Below are 19,883 nucleotides of genomic sequence, written 5' to 3'. Positions count from 1 at the left end.
TTGCAAAAGTACATATGAAAGTCACAAGTCTCCAGATACGTAAAGCTTTGAAAGTAAAAGAAATCATACAGGTAAGGTGGGTAGAGCCACAAAAAAAGAGGGGCCAACACTGAGCCCTGGTCATGGGCCAGTATTTGGAGGCCAGAAAGATAAAGAAAATCTAGCAAGGAAAGGCAAGGAGCGGCCACAAAGTAGGAAGAGAGCCAGGAGAGGGTGGCGTCCCAGGAACCAAGCAAGACAGGTGCTCCGAGGAGGAAGATACCGTCAGCTGCATGGAATCCTAATGACAGGCGAAGGATGGAAGGAATGACTATCACCCATCAGGCTGAATAACAGAACACTGGAGGCTTTGAAAAGAGCTGTTTCATACCGCATGATCTCACTCAAATGTGGCCTCTAGGAAAGGTAATCTCAGAAGTGGAGAGTGGAATGGGGGCACCACGGGCTGGGAAGGGCTGGGAGCTGGGGAGTAGAGTGGAATGGGGGCACCACAGGCTGGGGTGGCGCTGGCAGTTCGGGAGTGGAGAGTGGAAAGGGGGCACCATGGGCTGGGAGTTGGGGAGTGGAGAGTGGAATGGGGGCACCACAGGCTGGGGTGGGGCTGGCAGTTCGGGAGTAGAGAGTGGAATGGGGGCACCACGGGCTGGGAAGGGCTGGGAGTTGGGGAGTGGAGAGTAGAATGGGGGCACCATGGGCTGGGATGGGCTGGTCGTTGGGGAGTGGAGAGTGGAATGGGATCACCGGGGGCTGGGATGGGCTGGTTGCTGGGAAGTGAAGAGTGGGATGGTGGCTCATGGGCTGGGGTTGGCTGGTTGTTGGGAAGTGGAGAGTGGGATGGTGGTTCACGGGCTGGGATGGACTGGTTGTTGGGGAGTGGAGAGTGGAATGGGGGTACCATGGGCTGGCATGGGCTGGGAGTTGGGAAGTGGATAGTAGGATGGTGGCTCACGGGCTGGGGCGGGCTGGTTGTTGGAAAGTAGAGAGTGGGATGGGGGCACCACGGGCTGGGGTGGGCTGGAAGTTGGGAAGATGTCGATCAAAGATACAAAATTTCAGTTAGATGGGAAGAATAAGTTCAAGAGATCTGTTGTACAACATGGTGACTGTAGTTAATAATATATTGTATTCTTGAAAAATGTTGCCAGGTGAGGTGGCTCATGCCTGTAATCCTAGAACTTTGGGAGGCTGAGGCAGGCAGATCACAAGGTCAGGAGTTCAAGACCAGCCTGGCCAATATGGTGAAACCCTGTCTCTACTAAAAATATAAAAAAATTTGCCAGGCATGGTGGCGCGTGCCTGTAGTTCTAGCTACTCAAGAGGCTGAGGCAGGAGAATTGCTTGAACCCGGGAGGCAGAGGTTGCAGTGAGCCCAGATCGCGCCACTGCACTCCAGCCTGAGTGACAGGGCGATACTCTGTCTCAAAAAAAAAAAAAAAAAGAAAAAGAAAAATGTTGAGTGGATGTAAAGCGTTCCTACCACGAAAATGGTAACTATGTGAGGTAATGTATATGTTAATTAGCTAGATGTACTCACTCTACAATGTAGTATATATACTTCAAAACATCACATTGTACACAGTAAATACATACAATTTTACCTCTCAATTTACAAAGCAAGTGAAAAAAAAAAAAAAGAAAGTATGAAAAGAGCCATTTCAATAGAATAGTTGAAATAAAAGCCTAGACAGAGTAAATTCAAGGGATACCAGCAAATGGGGAATACAAGAAAAGAGAAAAACAGGCTTGTGGTTTCGGTCAAGAAAGGCGTTTTTGTTTTGTTTTGTTTGGGGTGGGAGAAATGATGGCATGTTTAAATGCCAATGGGAAGGACAGAGAAATGGATGGTGTGGGGAAAAACCAAGAACTTGAGTGGACCAAGGGCACAGAGCAGCCTTCCAGAGGAACAAGGAGATTTCTGGCAGAGTGTGTACATCACAGAAGGCAGACATGATATGCAGACACAGGCTGGCTGGTACCTCTAAGTTCTCCTGATTGCTTGTGTTGATTTCTTCAATGAAACAGGAAGCAGCCTCACTAGCTCAGAGTGAGGGGCAGGGCTTAAGCCTTTTGGGTTTGAAGACAGAGGGAGATCTGAAATAGCCTTAGGGAAATGCAAAGCTACAAGGCAAGGATGATCTAACATCAGTGGTCACCAACTCAAATAAATAGCAGGGTCTTCCCTCCCTCTTTCCCCATCCCACTCACCTGGAGTGGGCACAAAAGTGGATTTCATCAGGCTTGCATAAATAGGTTTAATAAGATGGGGCTGGTGAGTATTTAAGAGTACATGCAGGAGCGTGAGGGCGAGTATAATGATGGGCTTGGAATTTTAGTTGGGTAAGGAAGAAAGGGATGACAGGAGGGGCATAAGAAACAGTTAAACAAAAAAAAAAAAAAAAAAGAGGTTTGATTCACTGTTTCATTTAGTTTGAAGAACTGAGCCAGCATTTTAGATATTTTGATCAATAGAGACATTGAGAGCACCTAGTCTGCCACCGGAATGGGTAATTCCTTACATTGTATAATGGGTAACGTGGAATCCTTTACACAACATTTAAGAATATTATATATGCATTACATGTTTATGTAGATAATTTAGAAAATACAAATAAAGCAAAAGAAAAGAAATCTTTACTTTCTTACCAGTTTTTACTATGTATTTGTATTTTATTTACAAATTTATAACATTTCCAGACTTTGGGGTAACTTACCTTTTCTAACAACTCTGTGAGCATGTTATTTAAAGTGGTCTTCTATACTTTCATTTCTATAATTACTGTTGTGTGGTCATTGATCCCATGGATTCTATGCCTGCTCGTGGTTTTGAGCTGTTCATCCCACACATCTGTAGCAGCCTCGTTTGCACCTGTGGAGTCCATGGCTCCCACAGACCCAGGCACAAGCCTCTGACTCTCTCACAAGCCTTCTAATGGAGAAGTGCCTGAGCATTTACTTAAGAGAAACACAAATGTGTTATAGGCAGCTTTCTGTCCTTTCCTACCTCTTTCCATTACATTCAGGGAATCATACTCATGTTTGAAATTTTATACATAGGGAACTCACTTTACATATGAATTTCAGGAAAATTAAGGACATATATAACACATGTAGTGACAAAATTTCAACGGAGTAGTTAGTTGTCACAAGGACACAGAAATGCATTTAAACAGTGGCTATAGGGTAGGAATGCTAGATTATCCTGCAATGTGTAAGAGTGACTGATGGAAAAGATCACCATGCCACAGCCGACACTACTTTCAAAAGTGCCAAAGTTTGGGTATATTTAAAAACAAAGCAAAAAAAAAAAAAAAAAAAAACTAATTATTTAGCTGAGTCTAGAACCCAACTCCATTTTGCAAGGAAGAACAAGGTGTTCTTAAAATCATCTTATGACATAATAAATTTTCCAGAAACAAAACCATCACGTATATTGAGGGAAGATTATACTTTGTTTTGCTCAGAACTTTGCCAACAGTTGCTCATCATTTCAAAAGATGACATCACCACTGACAACCCTGCTGGAGACATCTGAGTTGCCAATGCAACATTCCTATATCAATCTCATTTTGTAGCTGTCAAGTTCACAGTGATCACACATATACATCAAGCATCTATTTCACAAGTCTTCTAAAGTAGTATGCCTAAATATTTGTTTAATTAAGCATACAATACTTTATTATATACTTCTTTCTTTTCATTTTCCATATATAGTTAGTGCCTTATTCTAATTTTGTTTAAAATTTTGTGTGGGGAGAGCTCATATTACCTAAGAACTTTATTTTAAAAGAATAAAGGAGACACTAGAAAAGTTTGATTCAAACAATGAGAAGGTATTATCTGTATGTTCTAAATGATCTATCATAAACATTACATATTTGTATGGTTTCCAATTGTATAAAGGATACCAAAGGAACAACTAGAAAACATGAAACTACCAGTTCCAGCAGTATGGCAGATTAGATGCTCTAAATAGCTATTGATTGAAAAACCCAAAATACTGGATAAAATGCGTTTTCTAATCCTTTTTAAATGAATCCCAGACTTGCCATAAATGTGAGTAACATGAAGAACACCCAGAGAGCAGACCGAGAACAGAGAAACCAAGAGAGCAATAGAAGCCAACTTTTGCTATAGATTCTAACTTTCCCTTTGACAACTATTCGAGAACAGGGAAAAGGAGAGGAAGTCCAGGGCCTGCCAAAAGGGAGTAAAATACAAGACAACACCTCTCAGTTAAATTAAGGACCAAGAAGGGCTATACCCATCATTTAAGAGCTTGCAACCCCACTAAACAGAAAAGAGAAATACCTGTCTTGAACTTGATATGCAGAGGTAGCAGGAATAAGTGGCTCCTTTAAGAAATAGCAACCACAAGCTAACCATCACCAGGGTATCTGGTCAAAATTAACACTTAATGGTGTGGTCTACAAAACCTCAAGAAGATACTTCATTTAGAACAGCCCCAGAGACCATCATCACCTAAACCCTCTAATTAATCTTAACTTCACTGTTGTGGGACAACCAAACATTACGCTCAATCTGATACAATAAACGCACAGCATCGCCTATGAAGCATCCAGACCAAGTCAGTCAGAAATGACGGGTAACAACCACCCCAAACTCAGTGGCCTAGGGTCACCAGCATGTGTTGTGCTCACCAATGTAGTTAGTGAGCAATTTGGAGAGGGTACAAAGGGAAGCTTTATCTGTCCATCACAATGTCTCTTCAGCCTCAGCTGTAGCTGATGGTCACAAGAAAGGTGGGGGCTAGAACCACCTAGAGGCTCTTCGCTCAAAAGGAGGATCACAGACCCATCCTGTGAACAAGGGCAGGCCTAAGATGTTGGGAACATGATTTTCAACGACTGCAAATAAAATGTTTATCTTCAAGCCTGTGGATCTAACTTGCAATGTACAGGAAACAGATGAGCAAGTTAAGCCACATCAAGAGAAAACTGGCAGATAAAGCCATTCCACAGGACAGTTGACCCAGGTTTTTCAAGAGGTCAAGGCACAAATTTTGGGGAGGAGAAACTGTCCTAGATAAAAAGGCTTCAGAACCAAATCAATGTAATAAATCTTGTTTAAATTTTGCTTGAAACGAATGATACAGAAGGGTATTCTGAAGACAACTGGGGCTATCTGAACATGGCTAGGTTTGTAGACAAGTGGAATTATATTTAATTTAATAAGATGTGGTAACAGAGCTGCTGTTATATAAGAAACGCCCTTGTCCGGATGCGGTGACTCACGCCTGTAATTCCAGCACTCTGGGAGGCCGAGGCAGGTGGATCACAAGGTCAGGAGTTCAAGACCAGCCTGGCCAACATGGTGAAACCCCGTTTCTACTAAAAATACAAAAATTAGCCAGGTGTGGAGGTGCACGCCTGTAATCCCAGCTACTCACAGGGCTGAGGCAGGAGAATTGCTTGAATTCAGGAGGCAGATGCCGCAGTGAGCCAAGATTGCACCACTGCACTCCAGCCTGGGCGACAGAGCGAGGCTCTGTCTCAAAAAAAAAAAAAAAAAAAAGAGAAAGAAAAAAGAAAAAAAAAGAAGTGCCCTTACGTTTTATACACACATACAGAATGATTTTGAGAAGAAATGTATCTGTGACTTAAAATACTTTGAAGAAAGTCGGAAGAGGAGGAAAAGATGAGACAGGGCAGCAGACATGGGAAAATATTGGTAATATTAAAACTACGTGAGGGCATAGGAGTGCTCATTATGTCATTCTGTGTATCTGTATATTCTTCTTGTAATAAAACTTTCACAAAATCAAACACAAAACATTGTTCAAGATAACTGGTACCCATAGGCACCTGGCAAAAGCAAAGACCAATCAATCCTTCTGAGGAAACAGAATGCAAACCCAGGCCTCAATAAAAATGTCTTCAAAAAAAAATAAGCAATTTAGAAAAACAAGAAATTTCTTAGAACTAAAAGAGAACAAAAATGATACATATCAAAAGTTGAAAGATTCAGCCAAAGCAGTACTTAAGAGAAAAAATTTTAGTCTCATATTTAGCTTCATCAAACAAAAAATGTTCAAATAAAGTAAGCATTCACTTGAGTGGGGGCGGGGGGGAAGAACAGCAAAATAAACATCAATAAAGTAGAAAGCAAGACGTAATCAAGGTGAGAGAAGAATTTCATTAAGTTTGTTTACAAGGACACACAATACAGACAATAAAGACCAAGTCACTTTGGAAATGGTTTTATCAAGAATAAAAGAAGAAAAACCATTATGAATTAAAATGCCTTAACTCTGGATGGTACAGAGATTAAAGTAATAAAGGCTATTACGAACTTTATGTTAATAAAGTTGAAAAATTATATGAAATGGACAAATTCCTATACATAGGAATATATATATAGCAATACTCACACAAGAAGAAATTTTTAACTTGAATATGCCTATATTGACAAAAGAAATGAAATCAAAAATTTTAAATGGCTGGGCACAGTAGTTCATGCCTGTAATCCCAGCACTTTGGGAGGCCAAGGTAGGAGGATCACTTGAGGCCAAGAGTTAGAGACCAGCCTGGGCAGTAGAGCAAGACCTCAACATCTCTACTAAAAAAGTTGAAAAATCAGGGGTAAGACAAAAGGTAAAGATAAAGAGCTATACAACCCTTTATAGCTTTATAAACAGTTTTACTAAACATTCAGAGAACAGATAACAACACAAATTCTTTCAGTAAATTAAAAAAGGGACTCATCTTCAATTCTTTTTTTTTTTTTTTTTTTGAGACAGTCTTGCTCTGTCGCCCAGGCTGCAGTGCAGTGGCGCGACCTCGACTCACTACAACCTCTGCCTCCCAGGTTCAAGCAATTCTCGTGCCTCAGCCTCCCAAGTAGCTGGGATAACAGATGTGTGCCAACATGCCTGGCTAATTTTTTTTTTTTTTTTGCATTTTTAGTAGAGATGGGATTTCACCATGTTGACCAGGCTGGTCTCAAACTCCTGATCTCAGGTGATCTGCCCTCCCAAAGTGATAGAATTACAGGCATGAGCCACCACGCCTGGCCTCCAATTCATTTTCAAAGCTCGAAAAGTACAGATACCAAAACCTAACAAGGATAATTACAGTTCAGTCTAATTCATGAATTTCTGATTCAAGAAACCTAAAACAAATGTTAGTAAACTGAATCCAGTGATGAATAAAAAAGACAATATATCATGAGGCTATGTTTATTATAGAATGTGAGTTTCATTTGATACTTAAAAGGTAATTTACCTCAAAAACAGATTATAAGTAAAAACAAAGTGATCATCTCAATACATACAAAGTGATCATCTCAATAGATTCAAAAAAGACGGAAGATAAAATTCAGTATCCACTCATGAAAAAATCTCTTCGCAAACTAGAAAAGAAGGGAACTTCCTTAGCCCAACAGTGGACAGCTACAAAAAGAAAGGGAAAAGAGAAAAGAAAGAAAAGAAAGGGGAAACATTGTATTAAATGACAAAATGCTGGAAGCCTTCATTTAATCAGGGATAACACAGGAACAGCCAGCCGTTTCAAAGAATGCATACAGGGGAGCCAGTCTGCAGAAAGGCAAAAAAGCAGGAAGGCAGTGATTTTTTAAAGTATTATTTTAATTAAAAAACCTGAGACTTCACAAATCACTAGAATTAGCAGAATTAGCAAGAATTTAAAAGGTGGCTGGACACACACACAAAGTTAATATACAAAGTCTGTTACATTTGTATACACCAGTAACAATGAGAAAATGTAATTTTTTAAAGGATACCATTTACAATAGCAACAAAAAATAAGGTATGTAAGAATAATCCTAACAAAAGTAATACAGCAGCTCTTTTTGAAGAATGTTATAAAAGAAACTGAAAAGTACCTCAACAAATGGAGAGATGGAAAGCTATCCCATGCAGGAGAGGCAGGGATGGTGGAGTGGAAATGGGCAAAGGCAAGCATTGGAAAACCAGGCAGAAGAGCCAGCGGACTGCATGGTTTCTACAGCACAGCAACAGTGCCCGAAACAACAGGTGCCCAAGGCCACTTGCTGATGACAAAAATGACAAACATCCCCGCTTCTTTTTCTAAGTGGCTGGTGCTTTTTTTTTTTTTTTTTTTTTTTTTTTTTGGAGATGGAGTTTCGCTCTTGTTGCCCAGGCTAGAGTGCAATGGCACGATCTCAGTTCCTCACAACCTCTGCCTCCCGGGTTCAAGCGATTCTTCTGCCTCAGCCTCCCGAGTAGCTGGGATTACAGACGCGCCTCCACGCCCAGCTAATTTTGTATTTTTAGTAGAGACAGGGTTTCTCCATGTTGGTCAGGCTGGTCTCGAACTCCTGACCTCAGGTGATCCACCCACCTCGGCCTCCCAAAGTGCTGGGATTACAGGCATGAGGTGGCTGGTGCTTCTTTACCAATGACAACCCTGCCCCACTTCAATCCTCCTGTCTCCTAGATAAAAATTAAAATACCTAATCACAAAAGTACCCCCAGCTTCTTGAGAGCAGCCAGTTGAGGACCACCCCTCCTCATGATGCCACTCCCTCTTAAGAGTCATCTAACACACACCCCAACCCTACTACAGCCCCACCTCCCCCTTTCCACAGTGCTCCTGGGGCTCCTCAGGACTGCATCCTCCCTGGCCTGCAGCCACCTAAGCTAAACAAACACATCTTTTTATTACAGGGATATTTCTCATCTTTGGTCAGTGGGCTCCAAAAAGGAAAAAGCTATTCAAGTAAAGTGCTTCTGTGTGTCTTATCTTTATTCTTTTCTAAGTACCCTGTTTCACAGAAGATCCCATTATAACAATAACAAAAGATAAAATTCTTAGAAAATAGCGTGATAAAAAAAGAAAAAGTTTATAGGAAAAAATAAGCACATACGAATAGCAAAAGGAAAAAGAAAACCAACAACTGAAAAAGAAGGATAATGAGGATATACTACCCCATCAGATACTAAAAGATAATAGAGAAACAGTACAATACTAATGCATTCATAGAAGAGCCAATGGAGAATAACAGAAATCCCAAAATGACCCCAAACACCATATACCTAAGGAAATTCAGTTAATGATTTTAGTGGCATCAGGGAAAGGTAGCTGCAATGGTTGATTTTACATGTGATCTTGGAAGGTACTGTAAATGGAATTAACAATTTCAACGGAGACTCTGAGAATAACAGATTGTTTTCCATAATGTGGGTGGGCCTTATCCATTTAGTTTGAAGTCCTAACTATAATCAAAAGACCAGCCCCACCTAAGCAAGAAGGAATTCTCCAGCAAGCTGTCTTTGACTTCATCAGACCATCGGCTTACCACCTGCCAGCCCATACTGCAGGTTTCGGAAATGCAAAACTCCATAAGCATATGAGCCAATTCCTTATAATAAATCTGTGTGTGTGTGTGTGTGTGTGTGTGTGTGTGCGTGCATATGTGAGCACAATTGATTCTATTCTATTATTCTATTCTATTGATTCCAGTCCTCTGGAGTTAATAACTCATATTACAGACAAAGGCCCAGTCTCCCTAATATACAAAGGATTTTAAAAATAATTTTTAAAGACCAACAACTGAAGAGAGAAAATTCAAAATATATATAAATTTATAGTTCAGGAAAAAGGAAACACAAATGCCTTTAAATACACAAGACAACACTCAACATTACTCATAACAAGATAAATGTAAACTAAAACTATATGCTTAGAAAAAGAAGTATTTCAGATTTTGGCATATTTGCATATACACAAATGAGATATCTTAGAGATGGAACCCAAGACTAAACATGAAATTCATTATGTTTCAAACGTGCCTTACATATATGGCCTGAAGGCAATTTTATACAATGTTTTAAAATACTTGTGTGACTGAAACAATGTTTTACATGTGTTCTGACTGTGATCCATCACATGAGGTCAAATATGGAATTTTCCACTTGTGGTGTCATGTTGGCATCCAGAAAGTTTCAGATTTTGGAGCATTTCATATTTCAGACATTGGGATTTAGGGTGCTCAATCTGTACCAGATTGGCAAAAATCCAGAAGCTTTGTAAAGCCATGCTACTGGCACATATGTAGGAAGAGTCCTCTCACGTGCAGATGGGAGTGTGAATTGGCTACAACCTGCAATACCCACTGGGAATGCAGATGCACACACCCTTTGCCCAGCACTGTGGCTTCCAGAATTCATCCTGCAGATATTACTGCCCACTTATGACACATACACAAAGTTTAGCATGGCATCATTGTTTCAATTCAAATAACCAGAACTAATCTAAATGTCCATCAAAAAGAACTGGTTAAATATATCATGGTATGTCCATAAAATGTAATGAAGCTATAAAAATGAATGAGGGATTGCTGTATGTGCTCCTTTGGAAAGATCTCTAGAAAATATATTTAAGTGAGTAAAAGAAGGGGATGAGGAAAAAAATATGGAAGAAGGCATGTAGTATATACTATATACACCATCATTTGTGTAAAAATAGGGTAAAAATAAAAGTATGGTATTGTGCTTCTTGATATAAAGAAACTCTAGAAAAACATACAATAAACTATAAATGGTTATCCAGTCAAGAACGGGGGTGGTGACATGGGCAGAGGGAACTAAGACGGGAAGAGACTTTTCTCGGAATCCCTTCCTTGTACTTTTTATTTTTTCAAACCAATAAATGTATTGATTAGTTAAAACATTAAACATATGAAAAATATTGAAGACACAAAGTCAGGTATCTTGATGGAACCCTAAAATTATACCATCTGTATCAATCGCATTAACAAGACACCAAGTACTACTAATACTTGCTAACTGCCTGCCTTATACAAAAGCAAGAGATTACATAAACCACATTTGAAAACAAAAGGAAAGACTGCATAAAGAAATGTTCTGGTCGTTATGAAATACTAGCTGGTTAAATATGGTTGAGCTTCTTAAGTTTTTAAAGGTATATGAATTCAGTGTTATTAAGATTTAGCTTGATTTTGATAATACTTTAATGGTAATTTTTACTTTGTTTCAGGATAGATTTAGGGGGATTACTTAGGTTTTGGAGGTGCTAAATATATCTATAATGCAAGTTATCACTTTTTTGAGAAACTTTCCAAATCTATCTCCCATCCAACTCCCTAAAATCCAGGACTGTTCCTGTCAAACCAGACCATCTGATTAGGCCACTCAAATGTCTCCAACTTTCACCTCTCTGCCCCACAATGAATATAACTCAGACATTTTATAGCTAGGGAGTACAAACCCAAGAAAAAATTTCCAATGTATTTTGAGCAATGTTTGGTTTTATTCAGAATATACAAAAATTATTACAATTACTTTAAAAAGTCATGGTTATAGAGTATTTACCATATAATTTATTGTATTCAAATCAATAAAATGATAGCAATAATCAAAGCATAAGATAGACTGAAACTAAGCACATTAAAATAATATTCATTAAAATAAGATTTTACTTGTAGTATGCTTTAAATATTTAAATATGAAAGATATTAAATAACTAATTGCCATGTGCTGGAAGTCATCAGTGAATAATTTTTAAAGGAAGTAAATTTTGAGCTTGGTCTTGAAGAAAATGACAGGCATTTAGAATCATTAATCAAATCGGTTTTATGATCAGAGATTCATTTCAGCACACTACAGTCAAATGAGTAATATAATTTATCTATTGACTCCTTAAATTTTGATGACATGACAAAACACTCTGTGTCTACAGATAAGTTCAATAAGGCTCTGAAAGCCCCTTGAAAAAGGTTATAACTTTATCAAAACTCCAGATACCAGCCTTGCTCATCTAAAAAGAAATTATATTAAAGTGTTTTAAAATTTTCATACACTTTAATAAAAGACTTGACCAGGTAACTATGAAATGATGTACATTCCTACTGCTACAAACCCCACAGATGTTACTTTTTTTTTTTTTTTTTTTTTTTTTTTGAGACAGAGTCTCACTCTGTTGCAAGGCTGGAGTGCAGTGATGTGGTCTCCGCTCACTGCAACCTCCGCCTCCCGGGTTCAAGCTTTTAAATACATGTATGTAAAAACAAGATTGTACTGGGTCTCGAATCCTAGCTGTTGTTTTAACATGTTTTGCTTCAAATCATAAACTCTCTTTAGAATTCTCTAGTAAGTCATACGGAAAGGGACTCCAACAAACCCAAGAAAATATGTAAGAAACCAGCCAAACTGATTAAAATTAAGCTCCGTAAATTTATTTATTTTGCTTAATATCCACGATCTATTCAAGCCACAAAAGAAGTCCTTTAAAGAGGAAAAAGTCGATGCTACATGTGTTCACCTTCTCTTTGCCACCTCCACCACACAAAAGAGAAGGAAGGAAGTATTAAAATGGAAAATTATATTTTGATGTTTATGATTGGATGTGCTACGAACATTTTATCTGGATTCAGAGTAAGAGTCCCTCACTCACTACTTCTTTTCATGTCACTCATGAGTGACAGTCTCTAAAACATAAGGAAACTGAATCATTTTATCAAATAACATATATACTATTTTTCCACAAATTCTGTAAGCTGAAATATATAACCCAGTAACCTAAAGGAGTATTTAATGAGACTAATTTAAACTAGAAACTGCTTGATATATTTAAAGTACATGATTCCAATTAGTATTTTAATATACTGCAACTGAAGTGAATATCTACTTATAAGCTAGTTTAAATAGAATAACACAGTCAAAGGCAACAATGTTTTCACAAAGTAGCACTTACCATTAAAACAAAACAAAACAAAGGTCAAGATAAAAATACCATGCACGTGCCAACTAGAAGGATTAAATGATTGATAAAATCCTTCTCCTGAATAAGCCTTAACAAAGTGGCAGAGTGCTTTCTTGAAAGGTTCAGAACACAAATGACAGGGAACAAGCAATGACTGACACTTTCTGCTGCCACTAACCAGTAATGCAAGCAGCTATTAAACCAGTCATTCTTCTCACCCTCCAATCTCAAAAGGGGAAAAGACGGAGGGAGAGATGGAGTTAGATTAGGTTACAGTTATGCATTTTCTCAAAACTAATTTTTTTTCCACCAGAACATAATTTTTAATAAAGGACAGGAAGATGATTCAGAGCCGGGTCTGCCTTGGTGGAGAAAACAGGGCCCTGCGGGGCAGTGCACTGTGCTCACCTGCTGCGGCTGGTACCTCTGCTGGGACTGGGACGGCAGATACTGCGCCTGGGGTGGGAGGTGCGGGGGCTGCGGCTGCTGGCTGTAATATGGCTGTTGGCCCTGCTGGCAGTAACCACTCACACCTTGCTGTCCATACTGAGGTGGCATCTGTCAAAAAGTCAAGCAAAGCAAATGAGAAAGTCAAAATGTGCAATTAAATGAAATCAAATATGGTTTCAATTCAGCAACATGAAGGGGGTTCTCTGCTAAGCAACTAAACTCAATATTTCTAATCCTCTCTTCCTTAAACAAATCGACACGCTGCTTTCTATTCACATACTATAAATGAAGTCAAAAGGCAATCTGCTTTGCCTTTAAAAACCATCATATTCTATCAGATAGAAACTATTGATAATATCATAAAGGTGGAGAGGGGAGGAAGTGCTAAATACTGAGACTAAAAAATAGCCTCTACTAAGAAAGAGAAGCATGATATGAAATCCATTCCCACACAACAGTGAAAAAGTGAACTCAAACAGTCCAAATTAACTCACTAATACTTTACAGAAGGCCTGTGGTTTGGGTGCTTTCTTGTGTATGTTTGTTTCTAAGTTCAGAATGAAAAAGTCAGAATATACCAACGGCATTTACAGCACATATATACCAGTTAAATTATCAATTTTATTTACTATTTTTGCTAAGGATGGCATTTTCTTAGTTGATAAAACAGGTAACAATGTAAAGCAAGGTGTACTACAGTGCAAATACCAGAGGTATAGACAAAAATGGCCTCAATCAATCTTCTCCATCTCTAATTTACATCAGCCTAAAAATGCCTGAAAGCATTGTTTACAGGAAAATCCTTCCTCATGCAATAAATATACCATGGATAGTATTTTTGAATATTTTCTTAATGAGAAATCTATTGCCTTTTTCTGTAATTTCAAGAGAGAGCAGGAAAGGAAAAGAAAAACAAGATATCAGGACAGCAAAAAGCACTCTAGAGACAAGAATGGCAAAGTCATTTTGTTTCATACCACAATATGGTCCACTGGAGAACTTCAAGAACTTGAGCCCCATAAGCACACACACTTAAGAAATTAATGAGTGCCAGATACACACTTAAAACCCAAATCCACTATAGAAATACTGAATGAGGAAAAAGATGAAATGGTAAAAGATGAAAAGAGTAAAACATTTAGCCTCTAAGAAAAATCAGCACAGTAATTCCTAACATATACAATGGGGTAAAAGGGGAAAAAATGAAAAAGTTAAAGTTCCTATATTTCTTTCAATCCAATCCAGATTATTTTCAAGATCTACCAAAGAGGATGAGATTAAATGTGACCATAACGGCTCACAATGCCTCTCATCACACAGAGCCTAAGTTGTTGGAGCAGAAAAGTCTGCATTGCAAGCCATTTAACAGCACAGTTGAATTTTTTGCTTTTATTTATTTTACAGCTTGATATCTCATAATGAATGTTATGTCCCTGCCATAAGCCAAGCCAACGAATTTCCATAAAATACAACTCCACATGCTAGAATACCATATACCACTACAACACACATCCTTCCGTTCAACACCCATATGTTTGATTTGATATCTAATACTATATTTCACACAAGCATCTTTGCAGTTTGATTTAAAGCAGTTAGGATAACACTTCTGCCAGTGTTAAAATGACTGTAAAGCTCAGTCAACACAGCCAGCAACTCCCCTATGAATTGCGCTTTAATATGTTGACTTTCTGGTTACAGAAGCCCTCACACACAATATGGAAGTGTTGTTTGGGGAGGGGGCGCTGTTTTCTAAGCAACACAACAACAGGACAGATTGCAAGAACCTACTAACACTAGAGCAGCCACAAGCTGACTAGAATTTTTTACTACCTAGTCCAGCTCCAGGAAGTTTGGCTGCAGGGTGTGGGGCGAGGAGGATAGGTGGGCGCAGCTAAGAAATCTTCACTGGAGCAACCACCTACACGACTGAGCAAACCGAGACCTGGGTGCCCTCAAATATGCTCCTTCACGATTAAAACCAATTTGCTATCCTTTTAGACACACGGCTCATTCATCCATTTAGGACCAACTTTGCTGGCACCCCACCTTCTGTAAGCCTGGGCTGAGGAAACCTGTAACAGCACAGAGGGGCTCTCCCTGAGACCTGGGGCCCAGTGCCAACCAACTGGACCCGGTCAGCTGTCCTTCAATGGGAGCCATGATGGGACGGATTGCTCAACTCTAGTTTACCCAAAGAATCTTTGGGTTTGAAATACATGGACTCTAAGTCCAATTCCCTTTGCACGTGAGTTGTGTGAATACGGTCAGTCACATGACTCTGCCTTACATCTCCAACTGTCAAACAGGACTGCCTTCCTAAGTCATATAGATGCCCTGCCCAGTCCCACCTGCAAGTCTATACAGGTGCCATTATGACTTATTAAACTAGAAGTTGTAGTGCTCTCTGTAAAATATTAATTATTTCCTAAATGTTACCTTTAAAAACCAATTCCTCGATAGAATATCCCAGCTGACTGAAGCTAAAGTCTAACTCTTTGTTTGCTTGTTTGAGACAGAATTTTGCTCTTGTTGCCCAAGCTGGAGTGCAATGGCGCGATCTTGGCTCGCCACAACCTCCACCTCCTGGGTTCAAACGATTCTCCTGCCTCAGCCTCCCAAGTAGCTGGGATTACAGTCATGAGCCACCACACCCGGCTAATTTTGTGTTTTTAGTAGAGACAGGGTTTCTCCATGTTGGTCAGGCTGGTCTCAAACTCCCGACCTCAGGTGATCCGCCCACCTCAGCCTCCCAAAGTGCTGGGATTACAGATGTGAGTCACCGCACCCTGCTTAAAATCTAATTCTTTAATGATCATTATTGTTTTTTTGTCAATGCATTCAGATGCAAGGCTTTGAAAGATCTACTATATGCTGTTCAGACTTCTGAAACTGAATAGTATTATGAAACACAAATCAACAGCCTGCCCCAAAGGACATGGAAGGCCCCAGAGCCTTCTGCTGGATGCTGCAGACCACAGCTCCTTTTGAGTTCTGGCATCTGGGCGGCTGTCCCTCTCCTCACAGGCCATCAGGGCATTCTGGCACTGCTCACCGCTCAAGCTCAACCCCCACCTGAACCCAGTTAGGCTTCTAATATGCTGAGGACCAAGACACCCACACACACTGCCCACACAAGGAGGGCCCAAAGGACCGATGCGTGAGGAAAGCACCTGAGCTTCACTGTCCCAAGCTTTGCAAACCCTATTCTGATTGCTGAGAGTTTTTAAGTCGTTTCATTCTTAACCATATGCAGGATAACTCATATAACCAGACGGTTGCATGCAAGTGACATGCAACCAACAGTTACTGAGCGCTAGTCAGCAGTTGCTGGGAGCTGGAGACATAGAGCACTGGTAGCTCGGGCGGCCCTCCCTCCCCAGTCTAACCCTAACCATGGTCACTCTCGTGCCTTGACCAACCTGATCTTATCACAGGGGAGACTGATTTAGTTATGTAGTGAAACACTTAACTACGTGTTCACGTGTTTACTATCTGTCCTCATCACTAGAATATAAGCTCCTGGAAAAGGATCTGAGCGTCAACAAACATCTGTTGAATGATAAGTACTGTTGAATGATTATTAAGCAAGCTATTATTATATGAAAAATTTTAACGAATCAAGGAACACATTATAATATGGAAATCTCTTGAACTACCCAAATCTGACACACGTGTTCAGCTTCATCTACAGCCACTGAATGGTACACTAACAGCAGCACGGTGTCCTTGGCCAAAAACTGCTGGCCCATGGAAGTCCTGACTGTCCAGTGCATGCTTTGCCTCGAACACAGTTCTAACTATATATATATATATTTTTTAAAACCTGCAAAACTGAACTAAATGGAGATCTCAAAAAAAAATGCCTCAGATCAGAACATTTCCATTTGTTATTTAAAAATAAGAATCTGGCTGGGTGCAGTGGCTAAAGCTTATAATCCCAGCACTTTGGGAGGCCAAGGTAGGCAGATCAACTGAGGTCAGGAGTTCCAAACCAGCCTGGGCAACATGACAAAACCCCGTCTCTACTAAAAATACAAAAATTAGCCAGGCGTGGTGGCACACACCTGCAATCCCAGCTACTAGGGAGGCTGAGGCAGGAAAATCGCTTGAACCTGGGAGGTGGAGGTTACAGTGAGCTGAGATCGCTCCAGTGCACTCCAGCCTGGGCGACAGGGCAAGACTCTGTCTCAAATAATAATAATAATAATAATAATAAGAAGAAGAAGAAGAAGAAGAAGAAGAAGAAGAAGAAGAAGAAGAAGCAGCAGCAGCAGCAGCAGCAGCAGCAGTAGCAGCAGCAAAAGAAGAATTTGCTTCACTCATTTCTAAATAAAGAAGACCTTTAAGACATGAACACACACAACAACAAAAAATTTATAGCTAAAAATGATTCACTTACATATTTATTTTAGAAAATTATCCCAATAAAGAACGCAAGTACTACCTTTCACATTTCTGTATCACGTTAAATATGCAGGGTCAGGACTCATTTTTCATTTCACCATACCCTGAACTTTTTGCTCATCCTCCAAAATGAGTGAAATGATCAAAGGTTACCCTCTCCCCCTTTTTCCTTCTAAAGAAGTTTGTTTTTGTTTTGTTTGAGGTGGAGTCTCGCTCTGTCGTCAGGCTGGAGTGCAGTGGCACGATCTCAGCTCACTGCAACCTCCGCCTCCCAGGTTCAAGTGATTCTCCTGCTTCAGCCTCCCGAGTAGCTGGGATTATAGGTGCATGCCACCACGCCAGGCTAATTTTTGTATTTTCAGTAGAGACGGGGTTTCACCATGTAGGCCAGGATGGTATCGATCTCTTGACCTCGTGATCCACCTGCCTTGGCCTCCCAGAGTGCTGAGATTACAGGCGTGAGCCACTGTGTCCTCTTTTTTTTTTTTTTTTTTTTTTTTGAGACGCAGTTTTGCTCTTGTTGCCCAGGCTGGAGTGCAGTGGTGTGGTCTCGGCTCACTGTAACCTCTGCCTCCTGGGTTCAGGTGATTCTCCTGTCTCAGCCTCCTGAGTAGCTGGGATTACAGGAGCGGGCCACCACGACCAGCTAATTTATATATTTTTAGTAGAGATGGGTTTCATCATATTGGTCAGGCTGGTCTCGAACTCCTGACCTCAGGTGATCCACCTGCCTTGGGCTCCCAAACTGGTGGGATTAGAGGCATGAGCTACTGAGCCTGGCCTAAAGAAGTTTAGAGAGCAGTTTCTTACTAGGTTTAAAGGTACACTGACCCCATGACCCGGCCATGCGCCTTGTTAAGTATATAACCATGAAACACACATGTTCCAGGAAGGATATTCAATGCAGTCCTGTCTACTACAATTGACAGAAGAGGACAAAATCTAACTCTAAGACAGAAGGTAAATGGGAAAAGTTAACTTTGCTATAGGCACACAATTAAATCTACACAGTAGTAAAAAAGGAGTAAGACGCCACATATCAAAATGGTACAAAACTAAAAACTACAATGTTGAGTTTAAAAAGAAAGCAACAAAAAGTTAATGCAGTATCATATCATTTGTATAAAATTTGAATACGTAAGATATTAGTGTATACTGTTTATAAACACACATGTAGCAAAAGTATAGAAACGTGCATTGAAAAGAATTGGGGATTATGGGGCGTGGCTTCAGCCATGCTTTGCTCCTTTATAAAAAGAAAGATGTGAAGCAAATAGGGTAACATGTTATTTTTATACCTATATATACTGTGTGTATGTGGGTGTGTGTGTGTGTGTGTGTATACACCTGTATATACTGTATCTGTAATTACACAAGTGTGTCTGTTATATTTGCTTCTGTACTTTTCTATATGTCTAAATTATTTCACAATTTTCCACTTTTACCATAAAGATTTTGCCTCCACCCCAGTCCACATCCTCCCAAAAAGAGGTGGCCCTGGGAAACTCAAGCACCCACACAAGGCAGGAGGGGACACCCCAGGAGGTGTCCTTCCGAGAAAAGAGACTCAGCTCAAAGGCCAAGTCCCTGACTACAAGACCAGGTGCTCCAATCACTTCCCAGGCCTTTCACCTAGGACACTCCAGGCCATAGCTCTTCTGAGTTCTGGTGTCTGAGCGACTGTCCCTCTCCTCACAAGCCATCAGGGCATTCAGGACAGAACTAGGAGGAAGCCTTCATTATGATCTCCTCCCAAGGGAAACAAGTGTCCTGTAGGTTGGTGAACCTCTAACAGACAGAACTTTATGCCAGCATTTCCCTAAGGGTCACTAATTTCCCTATGGGTCCTACAAGGGACACTAATTCTATAGAATATCACACAGAAATGAGTTCTATAATTTAAAAAAGTTTAAAAAACAAATATACTATAAAAAGAAAACATACCATATCATCACATTAAAGGATATGTGAAATCCTTTAAAAAGTTTGGAAACTTGTCCACCTTTACATCCAAGATTTCTCAAACTCATTTGACCATGAACACCACCACACCACTGGACAGTCCACTGCACAGGACAGGCCCTTGCTAGTTCAGTTCATCACTGTATTCCACATGCCTGTCCAGTACTAAGAGCTCGGTGAATGTCTGTTGACTGAACCTCCTGAAATACATATAGAAATCACACACCACAGTCAATGGAAACGTTAAGAGCTGCTTGCCTTGAGCTAAACTATAGTCCAGTCCAGTTCTATCTCTAGGAAAGCATAGAAAAACACTGGAACAGATATTAGAACCTCCTTGAT

General features: G+C 40.0%; 1 protein-coding gene across 36 annotated transcripts in view, besides 1 other annotated feature; it reads right to left on the bottom strand.

Annotated features, from left to right (window-relative positions):
• Positions 1–19,883, bottom strand: part of ARID1B (AT-rich interaction domain 1B) — a 434,754-nt gene that overhangs the window by 296,124 nt on the left and 118,747 nt on the right. For all 36 annotated transcript variants that reach the window (NM_001371656.1, XM_011535984.3, XM_017011105.3 and 33 more), the window contains one exon: positions 13,131–13,280. In NM_001371656.1, the coding sequence (NP_001358585.1) occupies positions 13,131–13,280 (150 nt within the window). The remainder of the gene's footprint in view (positions 1–13,130; positions 13,281–19,883) is intronic.
• Positions 658–1,158: an enhancer, noted in NCBI's record as "H3K4me1 hESC enhancer chr6:157234632-157235132 (GRCh37/hg19 assembly coordinates)". NCBI's record gives its function as "activates a minimal SCP1, AML or CMV promoter by ChIP-STARR-seq in primed H9 embryonic stem cells {active_cell/tissue: H9 hESC(primed)}" and the evidence as "EXISTENCE:reporter gene assay evidence [ECO:0000049][PMID:30033119]".

Source organism: Homo sapiens, chromosome 6, assembly GCF_000001405.40.
Source record: "Homo sapiens chromosome 6, GRCh38.p14 Primary Assembly".
In the NCBI taxonomy this organism is placed as follows: Eukaryota; Metazoa; Chordata; class Mammalia; order Primates; family Hominidae; genus Homo; species Homo sapiens.
The sequence above is the reverse complement of the archived record's forward strand: the minus strand, read 5'-3'. Positions and strand labels throughout refer to the sequence as shown.